Raw genomic sequence first — 22746 nt, 5'->3', positions numbered from 1 at the left:
ACAGAGTATTGGAGGATGTAGCCAGGACAATTAGGCTACAAAAAATGTAAGACATTCACAATAGAAAGGAAGAAGTTAAACCATCTTTGTTTGCAAATGACATAATCCTGTGTATAGAAAATCCTAAGGAATTCAGTAAAGTAAGATTAGAATCTAAAAACAAGTTCAGTAACTTTGCAGTATACAAAGGTGGTTCAGGCCTGTAATCCCAGCGCTTTGGGAGGCCGAGGCAGGTGGATCGCCTGAGGTCAGGAGTTTTGAGACCAGCCTGGCCAACATGGTGAAACCCTGTCTCTACTAAAAATACAAAAATTAGCTGGGCATAGTGGTGGGCACCTGTAATCCCAGCTACTCAGGAGGCTGAGGCAGGTGAATCGCTTGAACCCAGGAGGTGGAGGTTGCAGTGAGCCAAGATCAGGCCATTGCACTCCAGCCTGAGCGACAGAGTGAGATACCATCTAAAAAAAAAAATCAATTCTATTTCTGGCCAGGCATGATGGCTCACACCTGTAGTTCTGGTACTTTGGGAGGCTAAGGCAGGAGGATCGCTTGAGGCCAGGAATTCAAGAAAAGCCTGGGCAACCTGGTGAGACCTTGTCTCTACAAAAAAATTCAAAAAATTAGCTACGCTTAGTGGCATGCACCTGTAGCCCCACCTACTCAGGAGGCTGAGGCAGGGGAATCACTTGAGCCTGAGAGCAGGAGCCTGGAGTGAGCGATGACCAGCAATTCTGTTTCTATATACTAGCAATTAATCTAAAAATGAAAGTCAGAGGCTGGTCGGGGTGGCCCACACCTGTAATCACAGCACTTTGGGAGGCTAATTCGGGCAGATTGTTTGAGGTCTGGAGTTCGGCACCAGCCTGGCCAATATGGTGAAACCTTGTTTCTACTAAAAATACAAAACTTAGCTGGGCATGGTGGCAGGCGCCTATAATCCCAGCTCTTCGGGAGGCTGAGGCAGTAGAATCAGTTGAACCTGGGAGACGGAGGTTGCAGTGAGCCGAGATTACACCATTGCACTCCAGTCTGGGTGACAAGAGTGAGACTTCATCTCAAAAAAAAAAATAATGAAAGTCAGAAAACTGTTCCTATGTAAAAAGCTTCAAAGTGGAGATATACTTAGGAATAATTTAATGAAATCTGTGTAAAATATGTACATTGAAAACTATAAAATGTATTGAAAGATACTGAAGATGTCCTAAAAAATGTAAAAATAAAAATCCCATGATCAATGATTAGAAAACTTAATACTGTGATGATGACAATACTTCCCAAATGGATTTATGGATTTAATACAATCCATAGTAAAATACTGCTTCTTTAAAAAATGCAGTTATTGGCAAGCTACTTCTAAATTTCATATGAAAATGCAATTGCTCCGGAATAGCCAAAACTAACCCAAAAGAATACAGTTGGAGTACTTGACTCATAGTTCTTGACTTCAAAACTTATTACAAACTGATAGTAATCAAGACATTGTGGTACTGGTATAAGTTTAGCCATATGTGTTATTGGATAGAACTGAGGGTCCACAAAATTACCTTTATATTTATGGTTTAAATGATTTTAAAGATTGTGAAAGCATATCAATATGGAAAAATGTTTCTTCCAATAAACGTTGCTGGCAGAAGTGGATATCCACTTGCAGGCTGGATTCCTCCCTCACATCATATAAACAATTGGCTTAAAGTGGATCATAGGCCTAAATGTAAGAGTTAAAATGACAAAATCTATGAAAGTGAATGTATGAATTAGTCTTCACAGCCTTAGGTTAAACAATAGAGTCTAAGATATTTCATCAAAATACAAGTAACAAGCAAAAAAAAAAAAAAACAAAACCCATACATTGAACATCATCAAAACTTAAAACTTTCATTATTCAAAGTACACAATCGAGATAACCCAAACAATGGGAAAAAATGTTTGCAAATCATACACTTGATAGGGGTCTATTAGCCACAATATGTAAAATGCTCTTACAACTAAAAAATAAAAAGAAAAATATCCTAATAAATAAGGGGCAAAATTTTTGTGTGACTAGACATCTTCCCAAAGAAGTTATACAAATGTACAATGCTCAACAAATTTAGTCCTTAGTAAAACACAGATCAAATTCATTGTGTGATACACTTCACTGCTTCACTAATCTTAAAGGCATATTTATAAGAAAATGAAGGTAGTTTGCATCACTATGTACTGTTCAATATAATTTATATGACATTGCGGAAAGTTGAAATTATACTAAAATGATTAGAGGCTACTAGGAACTTGTGAGAGGAAGGTTGGAAAGGAAAATTACAGATTTCTTTCCAGCAGTGAAATTTTTCTCTATGCTACGAAAATGGTCAGTTAATGCTACTATTTGTAAAATTCTACAGAACTTTATATCACAAAGAGTGAATAAAAATGTATACAAATTAAAACATTATTGAAAGGGGCCATTCCATTGAGAAACACAGGTAAAATAATATACTTACACATTTTAATTTATAAAGTCCTTTCCTATGGGAGTATGAATGACCAACTCTGATACCAGTCTGCATATATTTTGGGACTCAACGTTTTCATAAAGGGGGCCAGTTTTCTCATTGTTAGAATGAGAGGTTATATGCAAGTAGTAAAAATAAGTAGATTCATTCATGTGGTACTGGATTAGAATTGGAGACATTAGTGGGAATACAGGTTTAAATTTATATAGATATACATAGACAAATGTAGATATATTTTTACATATGTGTTTTTGTGGAGTTAATATGCAGATATATTCCTGTCAGCTGGCAAAGCCCAGAATCAACAGATCACCTAGTAGCAATGAGTGCACCCACTGCCCAGATCATTGTTTCTAATACTAGACACCAATAAAAATAAAAACTCCTTGAAGAAATTACGAACATTAGGCTTGGGTAGGGAATCAAAACAATTAAGCTTGAACACTTTATAGTGCCAGAAAGTAATAAAATGCTAAACAATAACACAACCAACAAAGCAGTCAAACAAACAAACAAACAAACAAAAAACAAAATCAAACTGCAACAACGTAGATATATCAAAATGGTATAGGAATCATCTGAAAGACCTTACATGGCAAACTCTAAAACAATTTGAGGAACAAAATCAATAAACTAGTAATTATAGTGTGAAGTAAATATTTGTGATTTCATATATTTTATATGATATATTAAATGATGAATATAAATAATGCATGGAGCAGAATAGAGAAATTGTCCATGGTAAAGAAACATAAATGGCATTGTAGAAGCTCTGCCTAGCAGGAGGTGGAGCATGTTTTTCCAATTCTTAAATATGTGCTGGGCACAGTGACTTCTTTTTAAAAAGGTCAACATGGAAAGGGGAACAAAAATTACCTTACAATATAAAGAACTAAGATTCTTTGAAGAAATGGTGATCCCTGACCTAAATTATCTCATGGAAATTATCAAGTTAATGTCAACAGTAATAAGCATGTTGATAGTGTGTACCCTTGATATGATGTGATGAGATGGCATATTCTGTCTGTAATCTTCTTCCCTAAAACTGACAACTCCAGTCAAAACATTAGAAAAACATCAGTGAAATCCCACATGAGGGATGTCAATGACCTCAAAAGCAAGAAAGATCTAAGAAACTGTCAAAGCAAAAAGAGTCTAGGAATACATGATATCCTGGATGAAATCCTAGAACATGAAATGGACAATAAAAGAAAACTAAGAAATCTGAACAAAAGTGTGATGTTATTGAATTATAATATATAACACTAGTTTAATTTTGAGAAATTTGCAACATTAATTTAAGAGATTAATAAGAAAACTGTGTTTGGGGTATATATAAATCATCTGCACTGTCTCTGAAAGTGCTCTGTAAATATAAAAGCATTTTAAAATATTTAATAGAAAAATTAATATTTTTTAAAAAGTCACTTCCTAGTTTAATAAACAGAACATTACCAACATTGCCTCATGTGTGCAATTCTCCAATTCAATCCACTTCCTAACCCCATGAAGTTTACCAGTATTCTAAGTTTGCTAATTGACATTTCCCTTTTTTGCTTATTTTTCTAAGTTTGCATTTCTTTTTTCTCTTTTGAGATATGGTCCCTCAGCCTGGCCAACATGGTGAAACCCCATCTCTACTAAAAATACAAAAATTTGCCGGGCAGTAGTGGCACATTCCTGTAATCACAGCTACTCAAGAGGCTGAGGCAGGTGAATCACTTGAACCCAGGAGGCGGAGGTTGTGGTGAGCCAAGATCACGCCACTGCACTCCAGTCTGGGTGACAGAGTGAGACCCTGTCCCCCCACCTCCCCAAAATGAGAGATATGATCTCATTCTGTTTTCCAGGCTGTATTGCAATGGCATGAAGACGGTTCACCACAGCCTTGACTTCCTAGGCTCAAGCAATCCTCCTGCCTCAGCCTCCTGGGTAGCTGGGACTACAGGCAAGTGCCACAAACCCTGGCTAATTTTTAAAATTTATTGTAGAGATGGGGGTCTCACCATGTTGCCCAGCCTGATCTTGAACTCCTGGGCTTAAGCAATTCTCCTGCCTCAGCCTGCCAAAGGATTGGGATTACAGGCATGAACCACTGTGCCTAGCCTTACCTTACTTAATAGTATATTGTACAGTTTTTCTTGTCATCAAATTTAGACATGTTTAATTTATGCATGTCCCCAGTCTAATCATGAGAAGACATGAGACAAATCCATATTGTGGGACACCCCACAAAATTCCTGATCAGTTCTTTTCAAAAGGGTCAAAGTCATGCAAAATAGACTGAGAAACTACTGCAGATTGGAAAAGACCCGATGTGACAGGTAGACCATAAGATGGTGCTCAATGAACCCTACCTGTTGTTTTACAAAACCCTGTAGTATAATCTGCCACGCCTGACAGTGGACAGGATATGGGATGTACTTGAAACACAGACTATTACAAAGGTAATGGGATGTTACTTGAGTGAAATAATACAAATTTCTTCCTCCCAGACCTTGCATATTTTTCTGGAATTGTAACGCATGTTATGCTCTGAGACACCAAAAACAATCATGAGGCTTGTAGGAGAATACCAAAGAACATAAGGAGACATGTAGACTAGGCTCAGCTGTGTGAACAAGTGTATGTACATGGAGAAACATCTACACTGGATTAACACCCAGTCCCACAGTGCTCTTCCCTTTTTACTCCTATAATTTACAAACAGTAGCTCCCAGAATTCCTTGAAATCCACTGCCCCTTTCTCATGCCCTGGCCTGTGCCATGGACAGTCTTTTTCCTCTTCTAATTCCCCTCCTCTGCTTGGTCAAAAACCGTTCCTCAATCTTCAGAATCTCCTCCAATGTTCCTCATCCTAGAGGCCTTCCTTGTCCATCCCATTACAGGTCTCATGCCTGTCCTCTCAGTTCCCAGGGGCACGCTTCCACTTACAGTTTGGATTTTGTTAAGTTTTCTGAATTCCCACTGGACTGAAATCAGAGGACATAAATTTTAAAAATATTTTCCCCTGTGAGCCCAACACATGCAGTGGCCAAAAAGCAACACAGATTATTTTAATATTGAATTTTACATATGAATGAATCTCTCAAACTCTTTACTATATTCTTGTCTTTTCCCCAATTAACTCTATCTTTCAATCTGAAGAGGATTTGAACTTGAAAATGAACATTTTTTTTTTGCTCCTTTCTGTTCTCAGAACAGGTGTAAACCCTGCTGTCTCCCTGACTCTTCTTGTCTCCCCATTCTCAAGCCATTGTAGAGACCCTCTTATGGATCACGCTATTTCTACCTCATATGCTCCTTTTCTCTCCTGGAAAGTTTTGCCCCTTTGATCAAGGAAGATGTTCTTGTTCTGTAAGATGTAGCTCTACTAATATGGCTCCCTTAATAAATATTTCCATATCCTTCTTACTTATCATATTTCACTTTTTTGTATTATTTTCTGTCAAATGTTACAATTCTGTTAGCCTTCTTGCAGCCATGGCATAGTTTTCATTGTCTGCACATGGATGAACTTGTTTTGAAACCTTCTGCTATTTCCTTCTGTAATGTCACCTGCAGCAAAACATGCACAAAGGTGTCAGCAGGACAGGTTGAAATCACAGAGTAGTGCAGCCTCATTTACTAAGGAATGCCTCATTGCCATCTCTCTTCATGGCACAGACGGTGGAAGACATCCATGACTTCTGATTCAAAATCCAATTCAGATCAGAATTAGTTTCAAAATATTGCGAATTCATTTATGAATTACTTTTACTTTCAAGTTCATATGTACAAAATCAGACTATTATGTGTATAGCAGTTTGAGATATATGTATTTCCATTTAGATCCACCTTAAATCTTTGTTTCATTGACTTCCAGTAGGTAGCCCTCATTTAGACTCCTACAGGTACTGTACAAGGCCAATTCTGACCTCCGGTTCTAGGAACTTACAACTATATCCAGGTCCTGGTACCAGAATGGCGATCAACTCTGCCGTAATGGGAGATGAAAGGGAGCTGGAAATGGGTGTTTACAGTGTGCCGTTCATGGGATACTTCTTTTACGTGGCCAATGCCCTAAGCCATAACTGTCTGACCCATAACCAAGTGTCTGTCTAACAGGAAATGTGTTTAGAACGGCAGACGCCCTTGTGGCTCTTGTCTGACCTATGACTTGTTTCTTCCTAGGTGATCATCTCTCTGGCACTGGGAACCAGATCTTGTGTTCTCCCAGTGTCCTAGGAAAAATCAGGCCTTGGGTAACCCCCGGTTCTTCAAATGGAAGGCACAAATTTAATAAGCCGATTAGTAAAAGAATTTTGGGATTGAATTATCAGTTGTAAAGTGATGGATAGAGTGATGAAGTAAGGGAAGTCAGGATACAGAGAAAAGCATATAGCTGAGAAACTTCTTTCAACCTTGTACAACTTTTTGTTAAAATAAAAAATGGTATTTTATAATGGATATAGAGGCATTGGGGGAAAGTTTGACCTTGAAGCCCCCACAATACCTCTCGTAAAACAGGTGCTTAGTTGGAAAAGATAAAAGAGAGTCAATCGAGAATCTTAGGGAAAATACAAACATGATTAAAGAAGTATCCCTTAAAAAATGACAGTAATTTCAAAATTATTGAAAAATAATTCAATTTTTCAGACGAATGCAGAAAAAAGAGAAATGAAAATTAATATTTAAAAGAAAGGGTATAAAATCATGGTCTGTGCAACGTTTATGAAAAGACAGTGTTGCATAAACACTAAGGTATTTTTATGGGAAAAAGAAACAAAACTTAGGTTAAAACAAAGTTAATACGGCCGAGCGCGGTGGCTCACGCCTGTAATCCCAGCACTTTGGGAGGCCGAGGCGAGCGGATCACGAGGTCAGCAGATCGAGACCATCCTGGCTAACATGGTGAAACTCCATCTCTATTAAAATTAAAAAAATTAGCCGGGCGTGATGTCGGGCGCCTGTAGTCCCAGTTACTCGGGAGGCTGAGGTAGGAGAATAGCGTGAACGCGGGAGGCGGAGCTTGCAGTGAGCCGAGATCGCACCACTGCACTCCAGCCTGGGCGACAGAGCGAGACTCCGTCTTGAAAAAAAAAAAAAAAGAAAAAACCAAAAACAAAGTTAATACAGGAGCAAGAACCAAAACAATGATAGGAAGCCTAAAAAGGAAAATGTTTACGGGTAAAACGCAGGTTAAAGGTTTTCTGCGGCACAAACGCCGGATAGGAGACTCCTAGCAGACGCCATAAGCCGAACAGACTCGCCCGGAAACGGAAACGGTGACGGGAGACCAGCGACATTCACGCCACCGGAGCCGCGCAGGCGCGCAGTGGATCGGCTGCTGCCGGCCACCGTCTTCCCCCTCTGTCATGTGACCTTCCTACAGCGCACTGCGGGCTGTTTCGCTGCGCCGAACAATGGCGCATTTCCTGCCACCATCCCTGTGAGATCGGAGTAGCTGGGCTTTGCGGCACAGCTCGCTCCGACAGACGGTCGGGACCCCGGCCCCGCCACGTATACTTGAGCGAATACGTCCGACATCTATATCACATTAGAAAACATTGAAAGAGTAATAACCCGTTAAGGCTGTAATCTAAGAAATTACATTCATCTTATGAACTGTAGTGCTACCAAAGAGGAGCGTGATGTATATGGAAACACATGGTTCCGGGTTTAATGTGACAGTGCAAAATCAGCTGAACTCGTTTTACACTCACATCCGAAGTATGATTCCGTGCATAGTAACACACTCCTATACATCCATGTTTGTAAATGAAATCAGTTAGCGTAATGGGATTCACTTCGACCTTTTAACCCTTGCGTTAAATGACAGGAAATGTGGTCTTGGGCCAGGATTCCCTGAGTCTTTACTGGGAATGGTTACCAATTGCATTTCACCCCTAACCCCTGCAGCAATTATGAATTATGTTTCAGTTTTTAAACGAATATAAGAAAAATCCTACTCAAATGAACACAGCAGTTCCTGGATGCTGGGCCGCCATCTGTTTTGTTTTGTGTTTTTTTTTTTCCTCTCCTGAATTTATTAAGGCTGCCATCAGCCCCCCTTTCTATTGCCATCAGCCCCCCTTTCTGTTGATGCTAGATGGCGCTGTGAGCACAGGGGTCCCTCATGCCCAAAAACTACAGTATAGCAGGTACTTCTGCAATTCAAGTAAGGAGGGGTTTAGGCGTGAAAGCAACCTATGCTTGGTACTGAAATTCGTTTTCTAGGTGGAAAGTTCCTTTTCTGATTTCGTATTTTTCACAGGGAGGTCCAACTGAGTCAAGAGAAGCTTCTACCTTGAAAATACTAAAATTTTGTGTGGACTCTTTTCCAGGACTTTAGGTTGTCTATTTTCATCACCCATAACTTTTTCTTTGCCAATGCAGGGGCTGAGCCTCAACCCCACATAATTTCTTAAAAATCTAGCCCTGACATAGATTTGTAACTTCCTTCATGTGTTCTGAAATTGCTATTCTTGTGATGCCTCAAATATTTTGACTTGTATACATGTCATGGTTTCTACATGAATACTAATCATTCTTTTGTCTTTCCCAGCTTAAATTTGCATCGTTTTTCAGCTACTTATTCATGTTTTCAATCTTAAATTACTTCCTGCAGGATACCTGCAGTGACCATTTAAATTAGTGTTGTATGCACATGCATTTTGTGGATTTCCACATAACTATGCAGCCTCTCTAATCTGATTTTTATTGCCTATATGTTCGAATATCAGCTTGACTGATGTCTCAGATATAGGAGAAATGTATGTTTGTTGTTCATTTGTCCATGCCTCACATGTAGCAATATATATACCACATGGTTGTCACTAGATTTTCTTAGTTTGCAAAAATGCATAGGTGAAAATCAACTGTCTTCCCTTATAGCGATAATGAAAAATTGAGCATTGAAGTTAAAATATATTTACAGCAATATAAAAATGATATTCTTAGAGATAAATCTGGCAAAAATTGTACTCTGGGAATTAGGAAACACTGATGAGATTAGTTTTAAAAGATCTAAATAAATACAGCGATACACTAATTTCATGAATTGGAAGGTCAATATTAAGAGAGCGATTCTTACATTTTAATCTATGCATTCACTAAATCCTCAATCAACATCCCATTATTTTTTTTTGTAGAAATTGACAAATAGATTCTAAAATTTGTATTAGAAAGTCAAAGTAGAATAGCCAAACACATTAAGAAAAGGAGGAACAATGTTAGGGTACTCACTTTACCTATTTCAAAATTTAATATAATGCAGTATTAGTACAGATAGTGTGCTTTGGTGTAGGGATATATATTTAGATAAATGAAACAGCTTAGCACCCAGAAATAGACCTACACTTATGTGGTTGGTAGATTTTTGACTCATGTTCCAAAGAAATTTAATGGCGAAAGGACAGAGTTTGCAACAAATGATTCTTGAACAACTGAATATTCATATACCAAAAATAAAAACCAAAATGTTCACCCTTATTTTGTAGTATATATTAAAAATTATTCAAAATTTATCATAGATTAAAATGTAAAACCTTAAGGTAGACAATTTCTAAAAAACAGCCAGGCGCAATGGGTCATGCCTGTAATCCTAGCACTTGGGAGGCCCAATGGGGTGGATAACTTGAGCCCAGGAGTTTGGGAGCAGCCTGGACAACATGATGAAATCTTGGCTGTATGAAAACACAAAAAAATTAGCCAGGCATGGTGGTGGCTGTAGTCTCAGCTACTTGAGAGTCTGAGGTAGGAGGATCACTTGAGCCTGGAAGGTGGAAGTTGCAGTAAGCCAAGATAGTGCCACTAGACTACAGCCTGGATGACAGAGTGAGACCTTGTCTCAACCACACACACACACACACACACACACACACACGAAAACATAGAGGTTAATCTTTGTGATTTTAGGTTAAGAAATAATTTGTATACAGGAAATAAATATTATAAAGCAGAAAAAGTAATGTATTCAATTAAAAATTATTATAATTGTTGTTTTTGAATGTCACTTAAGAAAATGGCAAGAGATGCCAGAGGCTCAGCATGAAATATTATTTTCAGTGTATAACTGTGATCAATCTTGTATAGAGAATTATACATATAAGATTAAATTTAAGAATAAATTAATAAACATTATAAAATAAAATGGTAACCATTAATCAATAGATATGAATGGCAAATAAGTACAAACTATGCTCATTGATGTGAATTGAAATCACAATGACCATTTAGACTGTTTATATCCATGAAGTTATCCATATTGATAACATTTTATATCCATAAAAATAATGAGCAAATTGTGGTATTTTCATTCAAGAAAGAATACGAAAGAGTACAAGTCAACATAAAAGAAAAACTACAGATACATGAAACAATATGATAAATCTCAAAAGTGTTATTCTAACTGAGAAAAAACATACCTAAATTATTACATACAGAATGATTTCATTTATATGACATTCTAGAAAAGGCAAATCTATTGAGATCAAGATGATCAATAATTGCCAAGGCTATGAGTGGGAGGAGGATTACTACAATGGGGAACAATGTAACTTTTTGAGGTTAAAATGTAATGCAGTTCTCTGGTTATCAGAGGGTAAATCAGATGGATTCTCCCCCTTTCTCACTTGCAATTCTCAAGAATAACTGTAGAATCAGCCCAGAATGCAATCTCCTGAGATAGGGAGAGACAGTTCTGACCAACCTGGGGTTTGTTCCTGCCCCTTCTAGTGAATGTGACATCTCGAGTTGAGAAGGAACCTCCAGGTCAACACAGTTTGTTCATCATCTCACTTTAGAAACTGACCCCCTACCACTCAAGTTGTTCTTAAATACTTTTCCTCTGCATTAATAACGTACACTGAGCTTAGGTTCCCTATTATAATATAATTTTAATTTGTACATCTTGCTGAGTGGTTCTACAATTTAATAGTTTTCATTTTAAGAGTCAGTGATTTGCAAATAAAAAGAATGAATGTAAGCATCCATTGCAGGGATCACACAAATTTTGGGGGAAGAAACAACAGATAACAGATGGGGAGTGACTTGTATTTTTAGTATTCCTAAAAACCTACGAATGCTCCTCTTATGGGGACAGTTTCAGTGGATGGCAATACTGCCACAGGAAGGCCAGAAATAACAGTAACGGGGTAAATAGTAAACTCATAAGTAAAACATCTAGAATAATAAGCTGAATTTTGCTTCTTTGGAAATGAGATAATTTTAAACTCATTTATTTGATTAAACATTTGGGCAAAATATGACAATGCACATTTGCTAGAATTAATAATTATATTCTGGCAAGCCTAAATTCATATGTCCACATATAAAAAGAAATAAAAAAAAATTTATTTGATGCTTTGAATATAAATGACATATTTTCTTTTTTGTTGTTGTTGTTGTTGACAGGGTCTAGCTCTGTCACCCAGGCTGGAGTGCAGTGGCGTCGTCTTGGCTCTCTGCAAGCTCAGCCTCCCAGGTTCATGCCATTCTCCTGCCTCAGCCTCCCAAGTAGCTGGGACTACAGGCGTCCGCCACCATGCTCGGCTAAGTTTTTGTATTTTCAGTAGAGATGGGGTTTCACCGTGTTAGCCAGGATGGTCTCCATCTCCTGACCTGGTGATCCACCCGCCTCGGCCTCCCAAAGTGCTGGGATTACAGGCATGAGCCGTAAATGACATATTTTCATACTGTACATGTGGTAAGCCACATCAAGTTGAAAATTCCGTTATTAAGGATAGATTTTCTGTCTGAGCTGTAAGCTCCATTTTTCATACACAAATCAGTGTATTTTGCTAGGGCTTAGAGAGTGATACCCCAAAGACTTGTGCTTTGACATGCTGAGAGGCCTTAGAAGCTGCCTCAGAATCAAGGTCCCTGTAATCCTGCCTTCTTCCTATCTCCAGTGGTAGAGAGGGGCTGTGTCTGAAATTTCCTTATCTGACCAAGAAAGTTTCTTTTGGAAAGAAATGTAATTGTATTAAAACCCCTCCCTGGGGATCTCATCCAAGAACTAGGAAAGATCATTCAGCATAGAAAAGACAGGGAGTCCTAACCATGCCTAGACAGACTTACCATCTTCTTTTGAGGGCAGCTCCAAGAGATTACCAGGAAGACATTATCTGCATAATAAAACAACCTTTGTTCCTGTGCAGCTCTGCCCCTCACCTTCCCCTAATGTCTACCTCCCACCTCCTGGGTCCATTTATCTTCTCTAATGACTGAATGCCCCTCCAAAGTCTTGCCTACATTCCCCATCTCCCCTCCCTTATGAAAAGGGTATGTAAGTTTATGTAGTACACTGCCTAACACACTGGGTTACTGGGTAATCAGTCTGAGGTTCACTGTGCTACTCATGTTAAAATAGAATTTTGTATGCCCTTTCTCCTATTAATCTGCCTTTTGCCAGCTGATTTTTCAGTGAACGTTCAGAGAGCAAAGGGAAAATTTTATCTTCTCTCCTATAGCTGCTCTGTCAAGAAACAAGCTGCAAAGTCAAGAAATGAGCTCCAGGCCCTGCCACAATAATTTCTGCACTCTGTTCTTAAGTCATCTTTTCAGTTGTTCCTGAACCTAGACTCATAGTTTTGTTAATTTTATTATTATTATTATTAAGACAGAGTCTTGCTCTGTCACCCAGGCTGGAGTACAGTGGCACCATCTTGGCTCACTGTAACCTCTGCCTCCCAGGTTCATGCAATTCTCCTACCTAAGCTTCCCGAGTAGCTGTGATTAGAGGTGCACACCGCCACGCCCAGCTAATTTTTGTATTTTTAGTAGAGATAGGGTTTCACCATGTTTGCCAGGCTGATCTGAAACTCCTGACCTCAAGTGATCCACCTGCCTTGGCCTCCCAAAATGCTGGGATTAGAGGCGTGAGCCACTGTGTCTGGTCAACTTTTACATATATAAATAATATATACACATACACACACGTCTTAGTAGCAAATGAATATATATATAAAATGAATTATATATAAATATATATAAATATATAAATATATATAAATATATAAATATATATAAATATATATATATATATATATATATATATATATATATATATATATATATATATATATATATATATATATATATATATATATATACATAAATATATATAAATATACATAAATATATATGTAAATATATATAAATATATATATGTAAATATATATATGTAAATATATGTAAATATATATAAATATATATATGTAAATATATATAAATATATATATGTAAATATATATAAATATATATATGTAAATATATATAAATATATAAATATATATAAATATATATGTAAATATATATAAATATATATAAATATATATAAATATATATGTAAATATATATAAATATATAAATATATGTAAATATATAAATATATGTAAATATATATAAATATATAAACATATATAAATATATATATTTGCCATATGTGTAATTTTTAAAATTTAAAAATGTTTTAAAAATGCAGTATATGTCTTAGATAGCAATTTTGCATTTTTAAACATTTTAAAATTAAAAACATCACTTGTAAAATACATACAACATAACATCTATCATTTTCTTTTTTAAGATGGAGTCTCACTCTGTTGCCCAGGTTGGAGTGCAGTGGTAGGATCATAGCTCAATGTAGCCCTGAACCCCTAGGCTCAAATGTGTCCTCTGGCCTCAGCTTCCAGAGTACCTGGGATTATAGGTGCAAGTGATTGTGCCTGGCTATTTTACAAATGTTTAAGTGTACAGTTCAGTAGTATTAAGTACATTCAGACTGTTGTGTGATTAATTCCCAAATTACTTTCATCTTGCAAAATTGACACTCTATACTCACTAAAGAGTAACTCCCCATTCCTCCCTCCTGTGCTCTTGGCAACCACCATATTACTTTCTGTCTCTATGAATTTGACTACCCTAGGTAGTTTGTATAAGTGGAATCATACAGAATTTGTCTTTTTGTGACTGGTTTAATTCACTTACCATAATATCCTCGAGGTTTATTCATTGAGCATTATCTATCAGAATGTCCTTCCTTGTATGCCTGAATAGTAGTCCATTGTATGTAGACAGGTTAAGTATCCCTAATCCAAAAAAGCAAAATTTGAAATGCTCAAAAATTTGATACTTTTTGAGTGCCAGCATGATGCTCTAAGAAAATGCCCATTGGAGCATTTTGAATTTTGGATATTTAGGGATTAGGGATGTTCATCCTCTACATGTGATGCAAATATTCCAAAATCCAAAATCTAAAATATTCCTAGTCCCAGGCATTTTGGATACAGGATACTTAACCTGTACCACATTTTGTTCATCTATTCATCTGTCAGTGGATACATGAATTGCTTCCATGTTTTGGCTAATGTGAATAATGCTGCTATAAACATGAGTGCACAAATATCTCTTCAAGACTCTGCTTTCAATTCTTTCAGGTACATGCCCAGAAATTAAATTTCTGGATTATATGGTAATACAATTTTTAACTTGTTGAGGAACTACCAAATGGCTTTCTCTAGAGGGTATACCATTTTGTCTCCCCACCAACAGTGTACAGGGATTCCAATTTCTCCACATCCTCACCAACATTTTTTGTTTTCTGGATTTCACAGTTTTTTTTTGTATAGTAATCATCCAAATTGGTTTGAGGTGATATCTCATTGTGCATTTGATTTGCATTTCCCTGATAACCATGATATTCAGCATCCTTCCATGTGCTTATTGGCCATGTATGTATCTTCTTTGGAGAAATGTCTATTCAAGTCCTTTACCCATTTTTTAAAATCAGTTTTTTTAATGTTGAGTTGTAGTCGTTTACATGTTCTGAATATGAACTCCTTATCAGATATAGGATTTGCAAATATTTTCTCCCATTCTGTATACTGCCTTTTTAGTGTATGGATTGTGTTCTCTGATACACAGAAGGTTTTAATTTTGATACATTTCAATTTATAAATTTTTACTTTTGTTTCCTATGCTTTTGGTGGCATATCCAGTAAATCACTGCTAAGTCTGATAGTAATAAACTTTTCACCTATGTTTTCTTCAAAGAGTTTTAGACTTTTAGCTCTTATATTTAGGTTTCGATCCATTTTGAATTTTTAAAATATACAGTATAAGGTAAGGCTCCAAATTCATTCTTTTGTGTGGGGATACCCAATTTTCCCTACATCATTTGTTGAAAAAACGATCTTTCCTCAGTTGAATGGCCTTGACATCTTTACAAAAAATCCTTTGACTACATATGTGAAGGCTTATTTCTGGGCTCTCTGTTCTATTAGTCTATATATCTGTCTTTATGCCAGCACCTCACCGTTTTGATTTCTGTAGCTTTGTAATAAGTTTTGAAATCAAGAAGTATGAGACCTTCAATATTGTTCTTTTTAAAGATTACTTTGAGTATTCAGAGTCCATTGAGATTCTGTATGAATTTTGGGATCCAATATAATCTTTGATAGTGACAGAGTTTCACTTCTTGGTCAAACTCTAGCTAGGCTCTTCTGAGCCCTCTTCTGGACTAGACTTTAACTGTGACCTACAAATAAGAACTGCAGACTCCCCGTATAAATTATTTCATTCAACCCCTCTCCTACCACATTAAAAGACTTAGCCAAACACTAAAACAGTTTCTACTAGCGCAAGGTCGTTAACCGCAGTATGAGTCAAGGCTGCCAAAAAAATTTACTTTTTGTTCCAGCCAACACCTGAGAATAGGCCCCTGGCCACACTTTCTTAGAACAATTATTAAAAAGCTTACCATTTTGAATCCTTCCTCTGTCCCTTTGAGATACATATGTTTCCCTTTCAACTCAAGAGAGCCTTTCTCAAAGACCTGAAAGTCATTGCTTTGAAATGTTATCACTGGGAAGGATAGGGCTTCTGTCTCCTATTCTCTGTGGAAAGATAGAATCCTAACCTCAATAACTGCCAGCTAGCAGACACAGCTGGCCTAAGCACAGTTACGCTTAACCAGCCTTTGTGGTTTTTCACTTTCCTGACTCTGTAACCACCTGAAGGGTTCTTGTTGCCCGGTGAATAAAGACGGACCAAGGCATTATAGTAGAGAAAGAGTTTAATAGACACAGGGCTGGCCACACCACATGGGAGATAGGGTTTATACCCAAATCATCTCACCTGAATTGCATAGATTAGGGTTTTTTAAAAGCAATTTGGGGGAAGAGGTGGGGGTGGTCAGGTAACATGTGCTTGCTGCTGATTAGTTGGGGTGGAGATGAAATCATAGTGGGGGTCGAGGCTGTTCTCCTGAGGGCCAAATCGCTTCTGGTGGGGCCTTAGGCGTGGGTGGGACTGGCAGTCCAGGTGGAACCGTCAGGTTTAGGTGGAGCCATAGGTGTCAGACTTGTAAAAAACCTGGAAAGATATCTCAAAAGGCCAATCTACAATAGTGGTGTTATTTGCAGGAGTAATTGGGGAAGTTGCATGTCTTATAACCTACGGATAATGTCTGCACCTTAGCAGGACCCAGGCGCCTCTCCTCCCCACATCCTGATAAGCCTCCCATTAGCTTTACAAAAGCAGTTGAGTTTTAGGGAAGGCCTATTATCTTTTACACTGTAGCCTAAATTTCTTACAAAGTTAGCTCAGCCCAACAGCCCAGAAATAATTAAGGGAAAGGCAAGAAAGGGGGTGGGTTAGTTTAGTTTACTGTTACATTTTTTCTCACTGACATAATATTTGCAAAGGCAGTTTCAACTCTAGTAAGGCCCTGCTCATCCCTCTCCCCTACCCCACTCCCTCATTCTTCCTTTAAAAAGCCCACTTTCCATTGTGCAATTCAAAGTTGAGTTCAGTTTACTCTGGATCCTCCCCGCTATTACAATAGTCATTACGAATTAAAATCTGTCCTTATCACTTTAGTGTCTGGTTTTGTTTTCTTTAACAATACCACAGAACCTAAGTGTCCATCAATAGATGAATGGAAAAAGAAAATGTGGTACATATACACAATGGACTACTATTCAGCTATAAAAAATAATGAGATCCCATTATTTGCAACAGCATGGATGGAGCTAAAGATAGTTATGTTAAGTGGAATAAGCCAGGCACAGAAAGGCAAACTTCCTATGTTCTTATTTGTAGAAGCTAAAAACAAAACAACTGAACTCATGGACATAGAGAGTAGATGACTGGTTAGTTACCAGAGGCTGGGAAGGGCAGTGGGAGGCTAGAAAGGAGGTGGGGTAATTAATAGGCCCAAGAAATAGAAAGAATGAATAAGATCTAGTATTTGATAGCACAAAAGAATGAATAAGGTCTAGCATTTGATAGCACAAAAGAATGAATAAGGTCTAGCATTTGATAGCACAATAGGTGACTATAGTCAATAACAACTTAATTGTGCATGTAAAAATAACTAAAAGAATGTAATTGAATTATTTGTAATGCAAAGGATAAATGCTTGAGGGGATGGAAACCCCATTCTCCATGATGTGATTATTACACATTGCATGCCTGTACCAAAACATCTCATGTACACCATAAATATATAAACCTACTATATACCCACAAAATTTAAAAATAAAAAAATTAAATTGGTAAATTGTGTGACATTTCTCCAAAGAAGCAATACAAACTCCTTTAAGCATATAAAATGATTTTCAACACCATTTGTTCTTAAGGAAGTGAACATATAAATCACCATATGCTTCAAAAAAAATTAAAGGCATATTTTGAAATGATAAAGGCCAGTTTAGAAAGACTACAGACTGTATAATTCCATTGATATGACACTTTGGAAAAGGTAAAACAATGGAGATGTTAAACCGGTTAATGGTTACTAGGTGCTTTTGAAGGAGGAAGGCTGAATATGTAAAGTACATGGAACTTCTATAGGGCAGTGAGACTCATCTGAAGGACACTGTAATGATGGGTATATTGTACTGTTTTTGAAGCCCTATAGAACTTTATAACTCAAAGAGTGAACATAAATGTTTGAAAATTAAATACCTAGTTAATATGTTGGAGGAGAAATGCAGACAAAATAAGATAAATGAATAACAAATGTATAAAATAATCTCACTGAAGGGAGATTATAAAGGTGGGGAAAGATGCTGACCTAAGTAACTAAGGAAATAAGTGGAAATTCTGAGCCTAAAAGCCAAAGGAGTGTCCATGAGCACTGTACTTTAGTTGGTAATGCTGTTTCACTAGGGGTATAGATTAACTATTCTGAAGCCACTGCACATGTAATTTGGAACTCAATTATTAAGTAAAGGAGGCCAAATTTCTCACTGTTAGAGTGAGAGATTACGAAGAAGTAGAGGGAATGGGGAGATTGACTCACGTGGTGCTGGATTAGATGCCGTTGGTGTTAGAGACATTAGGGGAATTCATATTTAACTTAATAAAGATACACATGAACACATGAGGAAATATTTATAGATACATTTATATGTGTGTGTTAGTATACACAGGTATATTTCTTTGCTGTGTCAGCTAACAAGGCCCCCAGTCAACAGATGACCCTGTAGCGACTCTTTGAAGAAATGGTGGATACTTGGCTTGGGCATGAAATAAACACAATTTGCCTGGATCATCTTGTAGTGCCTGAAAGTAAGAAAGTGTGAAATAACACACACAGCCAATGAAATAAACTAAAGCAAACCACAATGATGTGGGTTATTTCAAAATGATACAGGAGCCAACTGAGAGACCTCTAGTGGCCAGCATTGAAACAATTTGAGCAATAGAATAAAGAAAGAATTATAAAACAGTGTAAATTAAATAGCCATAATTTCATACAATATTTTCCAGGATACAAATAAATAATTGGATAAATATGAAATAAATTATGGAAAACAGCCAAATTGCCCTTGTTGAAGAAGCTTCAACGACATTTTCAGATACTCTTTTCATAAGAAGTTGAAGCATGAATACCCTCTATGTATAGTGCTATGTATAGTGACATATTTTCTTTTTTTACTTTGATTTTAGGTTCAGGGATACATGTGCAGATGTGCTTTACCTGTAGATAAAATTTACCGATAGGTAAATTGCATGTCACTGGGGTTTGGTGTACAGATTATTTTGTCACTCAGGTAATAAACACATATCCTGATAGGTGGTTTTTTGATCCTCATCCGCCTCCCACCCTCTACCCTCAGGTAGACTCCAGTGTCTGTTGTCCCCTTCCTTGTGTCCATGTGTACTCAAAGTTTAGATGCTGATTATAAGTGAGAATATACTATATTTGCCCTCTCTCACCACTCGTATTCAACATAGTATTGAAAGTCCCAGCCACAGCAATCAGGCAAAAGAAATAAAAGGCATCAAAATAGGAAGAGAAGAAATCAAAGTATCCTCAGTTGCAGATGATATGATTCTATACATAGCAAACCCCATAGTCTCTGCCCCAAATCTCCTTGATCTGATAAACAACTTCAGCAAAGTTTCAGGATACAAAATCAATGTACAAAATCAGTAGCATTTTTATACACCAACATCATTCAAACTGAGAGCCAAATCAAGAATGCAATCTTCCTCACAATAGCCACAAAAAGAATAAGCTGTATTCCCAGAAATACAGCTAACCAAGGAAGTGGAAGATCTCTACAATGAGAATTATTAGGTGAGTTCAAAAGTAATTGAGGTTTTTGCGTTGTTGGAATTTGCCATTTGATGCTGGAATACATTCTTAAATTAATGTAGCTATGTTATACATCATTTTAATTGTTTTTGCTAATGACTTACTACTTGCTGTTTACTTTGTTTATTTTAGACTATGGAAATAATGTTTTGAACTCTTATTCGAGAGCAAAATGGGTTGTAAAGTAGCAGAGACAACTTGCAACATCAACAATGCATTTGGCCCAGGAACTGCTAACGAACGTACAGAGCAGTAGTGGTTCAAGAAGTTTGGCAAAAGAGATGAGAGACTTGAAGATGAGGAGTGTAGTGACCAGCCATTGGAAGTTGACAAGGACCATTTGAGAGCAATCATTGAAGCTGATCCTCTTACAACTACACAAAGTTGCTGAAGGACTCAACGTCGATCATTCTATGGTCATTCAGCATTTAGAAGCAAATTGGAAAGGTGAAAAAGCTCGATAAGTGGGTGCCTTATGAGTTGAGCAAAAATAAAAAAAAATTGTCGTTTTGAAGGGTCACCTTCTCTTATTCTAAGCAACAACAATGAATGAATCTCGATGGGATTGTGATGTGGGACGAAAGTGGATTTTGTACAACAACTGACAACTACCAGCTCGGTGGTTGAACTGAGAAGAAGCTCCAAAGCACTTTGCAAAGCCAAACTTGCACCACAAAAAAAAGACGTCACAGTCACTGTTTGTGGTCTGCTGCTGGTCTGATCCACTACAGCTTTCTGAATCCCAGCGAAACCATTACGTCTGAGAAGTATGCTCAGCAAATTGATGAGATGCACTGAAAACTGCAATGCCTGAAGCTGGCATGTTCAACAGAAAGAGCCCAATTCTTCTCTTTGACAATGCCCACCAGACCACATGTTGCACAACCAATGCTTCAAAAGTTGAACGAATTGGGCTTCCATGAAGTTTTGCCTCATCAGCCATATTTACCTGACCTCTTACCAACCAACTACCATTTCTTCAAGCACCTTGACAACTTTTTGCAGGGAAAACACTTCCACAACCAGCAGGATACAGAGAATGCTTTCCAATAGTTCATCAAATCCCGAAGCATGGCTTTTTACACTACAGGAATAAACAAACTTATTTCTCATTCAACAAAAATGTGTTGGCAGGGCGCAGTGGCTCACGCCTGTAATCCCAGCACTTTGGGAGGCCGAGGAGGGGGCATCACCTGAGGTCAGGAGTTCAAGACCAGCCTGTCCAACACGGCAAAACCCCATCTCTACTAAAAATACAAAAATTAGCCAGGCATGGTGGCACACACCTGTGGTCCCAGCTACTCTGGAGTCTGAGGCAGGAGAATTGCTTGAACCCAGGAGGCGGAGGTTGCAGTAAGCCGAGATTGCACCACTGCACTCCAGCCTGGGTGAAAAAGCAAGACCTTGTCTCAAACAAACCAACAAACAAACAAAAAAAAGAGTGTTGATTGTAATGGTTCCTATTTTGATTAATAAAGATGTGCTTGAGCCTAGTTATAATGATTTACAATTCACAGTCTGAAACCACATTTACTTTGGCACCAACCTAATACAAAGCACTCCTCAAAGAAGTACAGTGACATGTTTTCAAAAAGGAAACTGGTGAAATGGGAAAAGAGAGTAATTTCACAGTGGAGTAATCTGATAAATCTCTCTTATCCAGGTGATAAAATTATCAACACAGAAAAGGTGTGTTGATAATATCTACCTTTGATAAGATGTGATAAAAATGACAACTTCCTCCTCCCCCAAATCCATAATCCAGTAAAATCATGAGAAAAACATCAGAGAAATTCCAAATCAGGGATGTAATTATCATCAACATAGGGAAAATGAGCCTAATGAGACATGATATCTAAAAATGATGGGTTATCCTGGATGGGATCCTGGAACACAAATATTTGTTAAGTAAAAGAGAAAATCTAAGTAAAATGTGGTTGTTAATGAATGATAATGTCTATTATTAAATTATTAATTGTGACAAATATTCTCCACTGTCAGAGATAAAGAATGCAGTACATAATAATAAGGTGTCAATTGTCCGAGAAGATGTAACAATCCTGAACAAGTGTGCATCTAACAACAAGGCATCAATCTATGTGAGGCAGAAACTTAAAACCACAAGGAGGAATAGTTGAATTCACCTTGTAGTTGTAGACTTCAACACTCCTCTTTCAGAAATAGACAGATCCAGTAGGCAGAAAAAAAGCAGAATTCAGTTGAACACAGCAGCACAATCAATGAACTTGATACAATTGACACCCACAGACTATCCAACAATGGCCAGAATGCAGAGTCTTCTGAAGCCCACGTGAATCACTCACTAAGATAGATCAAATTCTCCCCCATAAAACACACCTTAGCAAATTTAAAAGAATGGGAATCCTTCAACACATGCACTCAAACCACAACAGAATTAAGCTACAAATCAGTAAAAGAAAAATAAATGGTAAATTGCAAAATACATAGCAAAATAACATACTTCTAAATAACACATGGGTCAAGGAAGAAATTTCAGGACAAATTTTAAAAACATTTTGAACTAAATTTAAAGGAAATTACAACCTATCAAATGCAACATGGAATGCAATGTGGAAGGTTAGAGAGAAACGGATAGCCTTAGTGTAATATGAGAAAAGAGGAATCTAAAGATCACTCATCTAA

General features: G+C 37.3%; 5 annotated features.

The window, feature by feature from the left end:
• Positions 6982-7877: an enhancer, noted in NCBI's record as "H3K27ac hESC enhancer chr15:25018315-25019210 (GRCh37/hg19 assembly coordinates)". NCBI's record gives its function as "activates a minimal SCP1, AML or CMV promoter by ChIP-STARR-seq in naive and primed H9 embryonic stem cells {active_cell/tissue: H9 hESC(naive and primed)}" and the evidence as "EXISTENCE:reporter gene assay evidence [ECO:0000049][PMID:30033119]".
• Positions 6982-8774: a biological region, named in NCBI's record as "H3K27ac hESC enhancers GRCh37_chr15:25017418-25018314 and GRCh37_chr15:25018315-25019210".
• Positions 7669-7963: an enhancer, noted in NCBI's record as "tiled region #9168; HepG2 Activating DNase unmatched - State 1:Tss, and K562 Activating non-DNase unmatched - State 3:PromF". NCBI's record gives its function as "activates a minimal TATA promoter and a strong SV40 promoter by Sharpr-MPRA in HepG2 and K562 cells {active_cell/tissue: HepG2 | K562}" and the evidence as "EXISTENCE:reporter gene assay evidence [ECO:0000049][PMID:27701403]".
• Positions 7857-8026: an enhancer, noted in NCBI's record as "experimental_39217 CRE fragment used in MPRA reporter constructs". NCBI's record gives its function as "activates a minimal promoter by MPRAs in K562 erythroleukemia cells, with activity observed for both the introgressed and non-introgressed 15:25018251 variant alleles {active_cell/tissue: K562}" and the evidence as "EXISTENCE:reporter gene assay evidence [ECO:0000049][PMID:34662402]".
• Positions 7878-8774: an enhancer, noted in NCBI's record as "H3K27ac hESC enhancer chr15:25017418-25018314 (GRCh37/hg19 assembly coordinates)". NCBI's record gives its function as "activates a minimal SCP1, AML or CMV promoter by ChIP-STARR-seq in naive and primed H9 embryonic stem cells {active_cell/tissue: H9 hESC(naive and primed)}" and the evidence as "EXISTENCE:reporter gene assay evidence [ECO:0000049][PMID:30033119]".

This window comes from Homo sapiens, chromosome 15, assembly GCF_000001405.40.
Source record: "Homo sapiens chromosome 15, GRCh38.p14 Primary Assembly".
In the NCBI taxonomy this organism is placed as follows: domain Eukaryota; kingdom Metazoa; phylum Chordata; class Mammalia; order Primates; family Hominidae; genus Homo; species Homo sapiens.
This window is presented reverse-complemented; position numbering and strand designations above follow the sequence as displayed.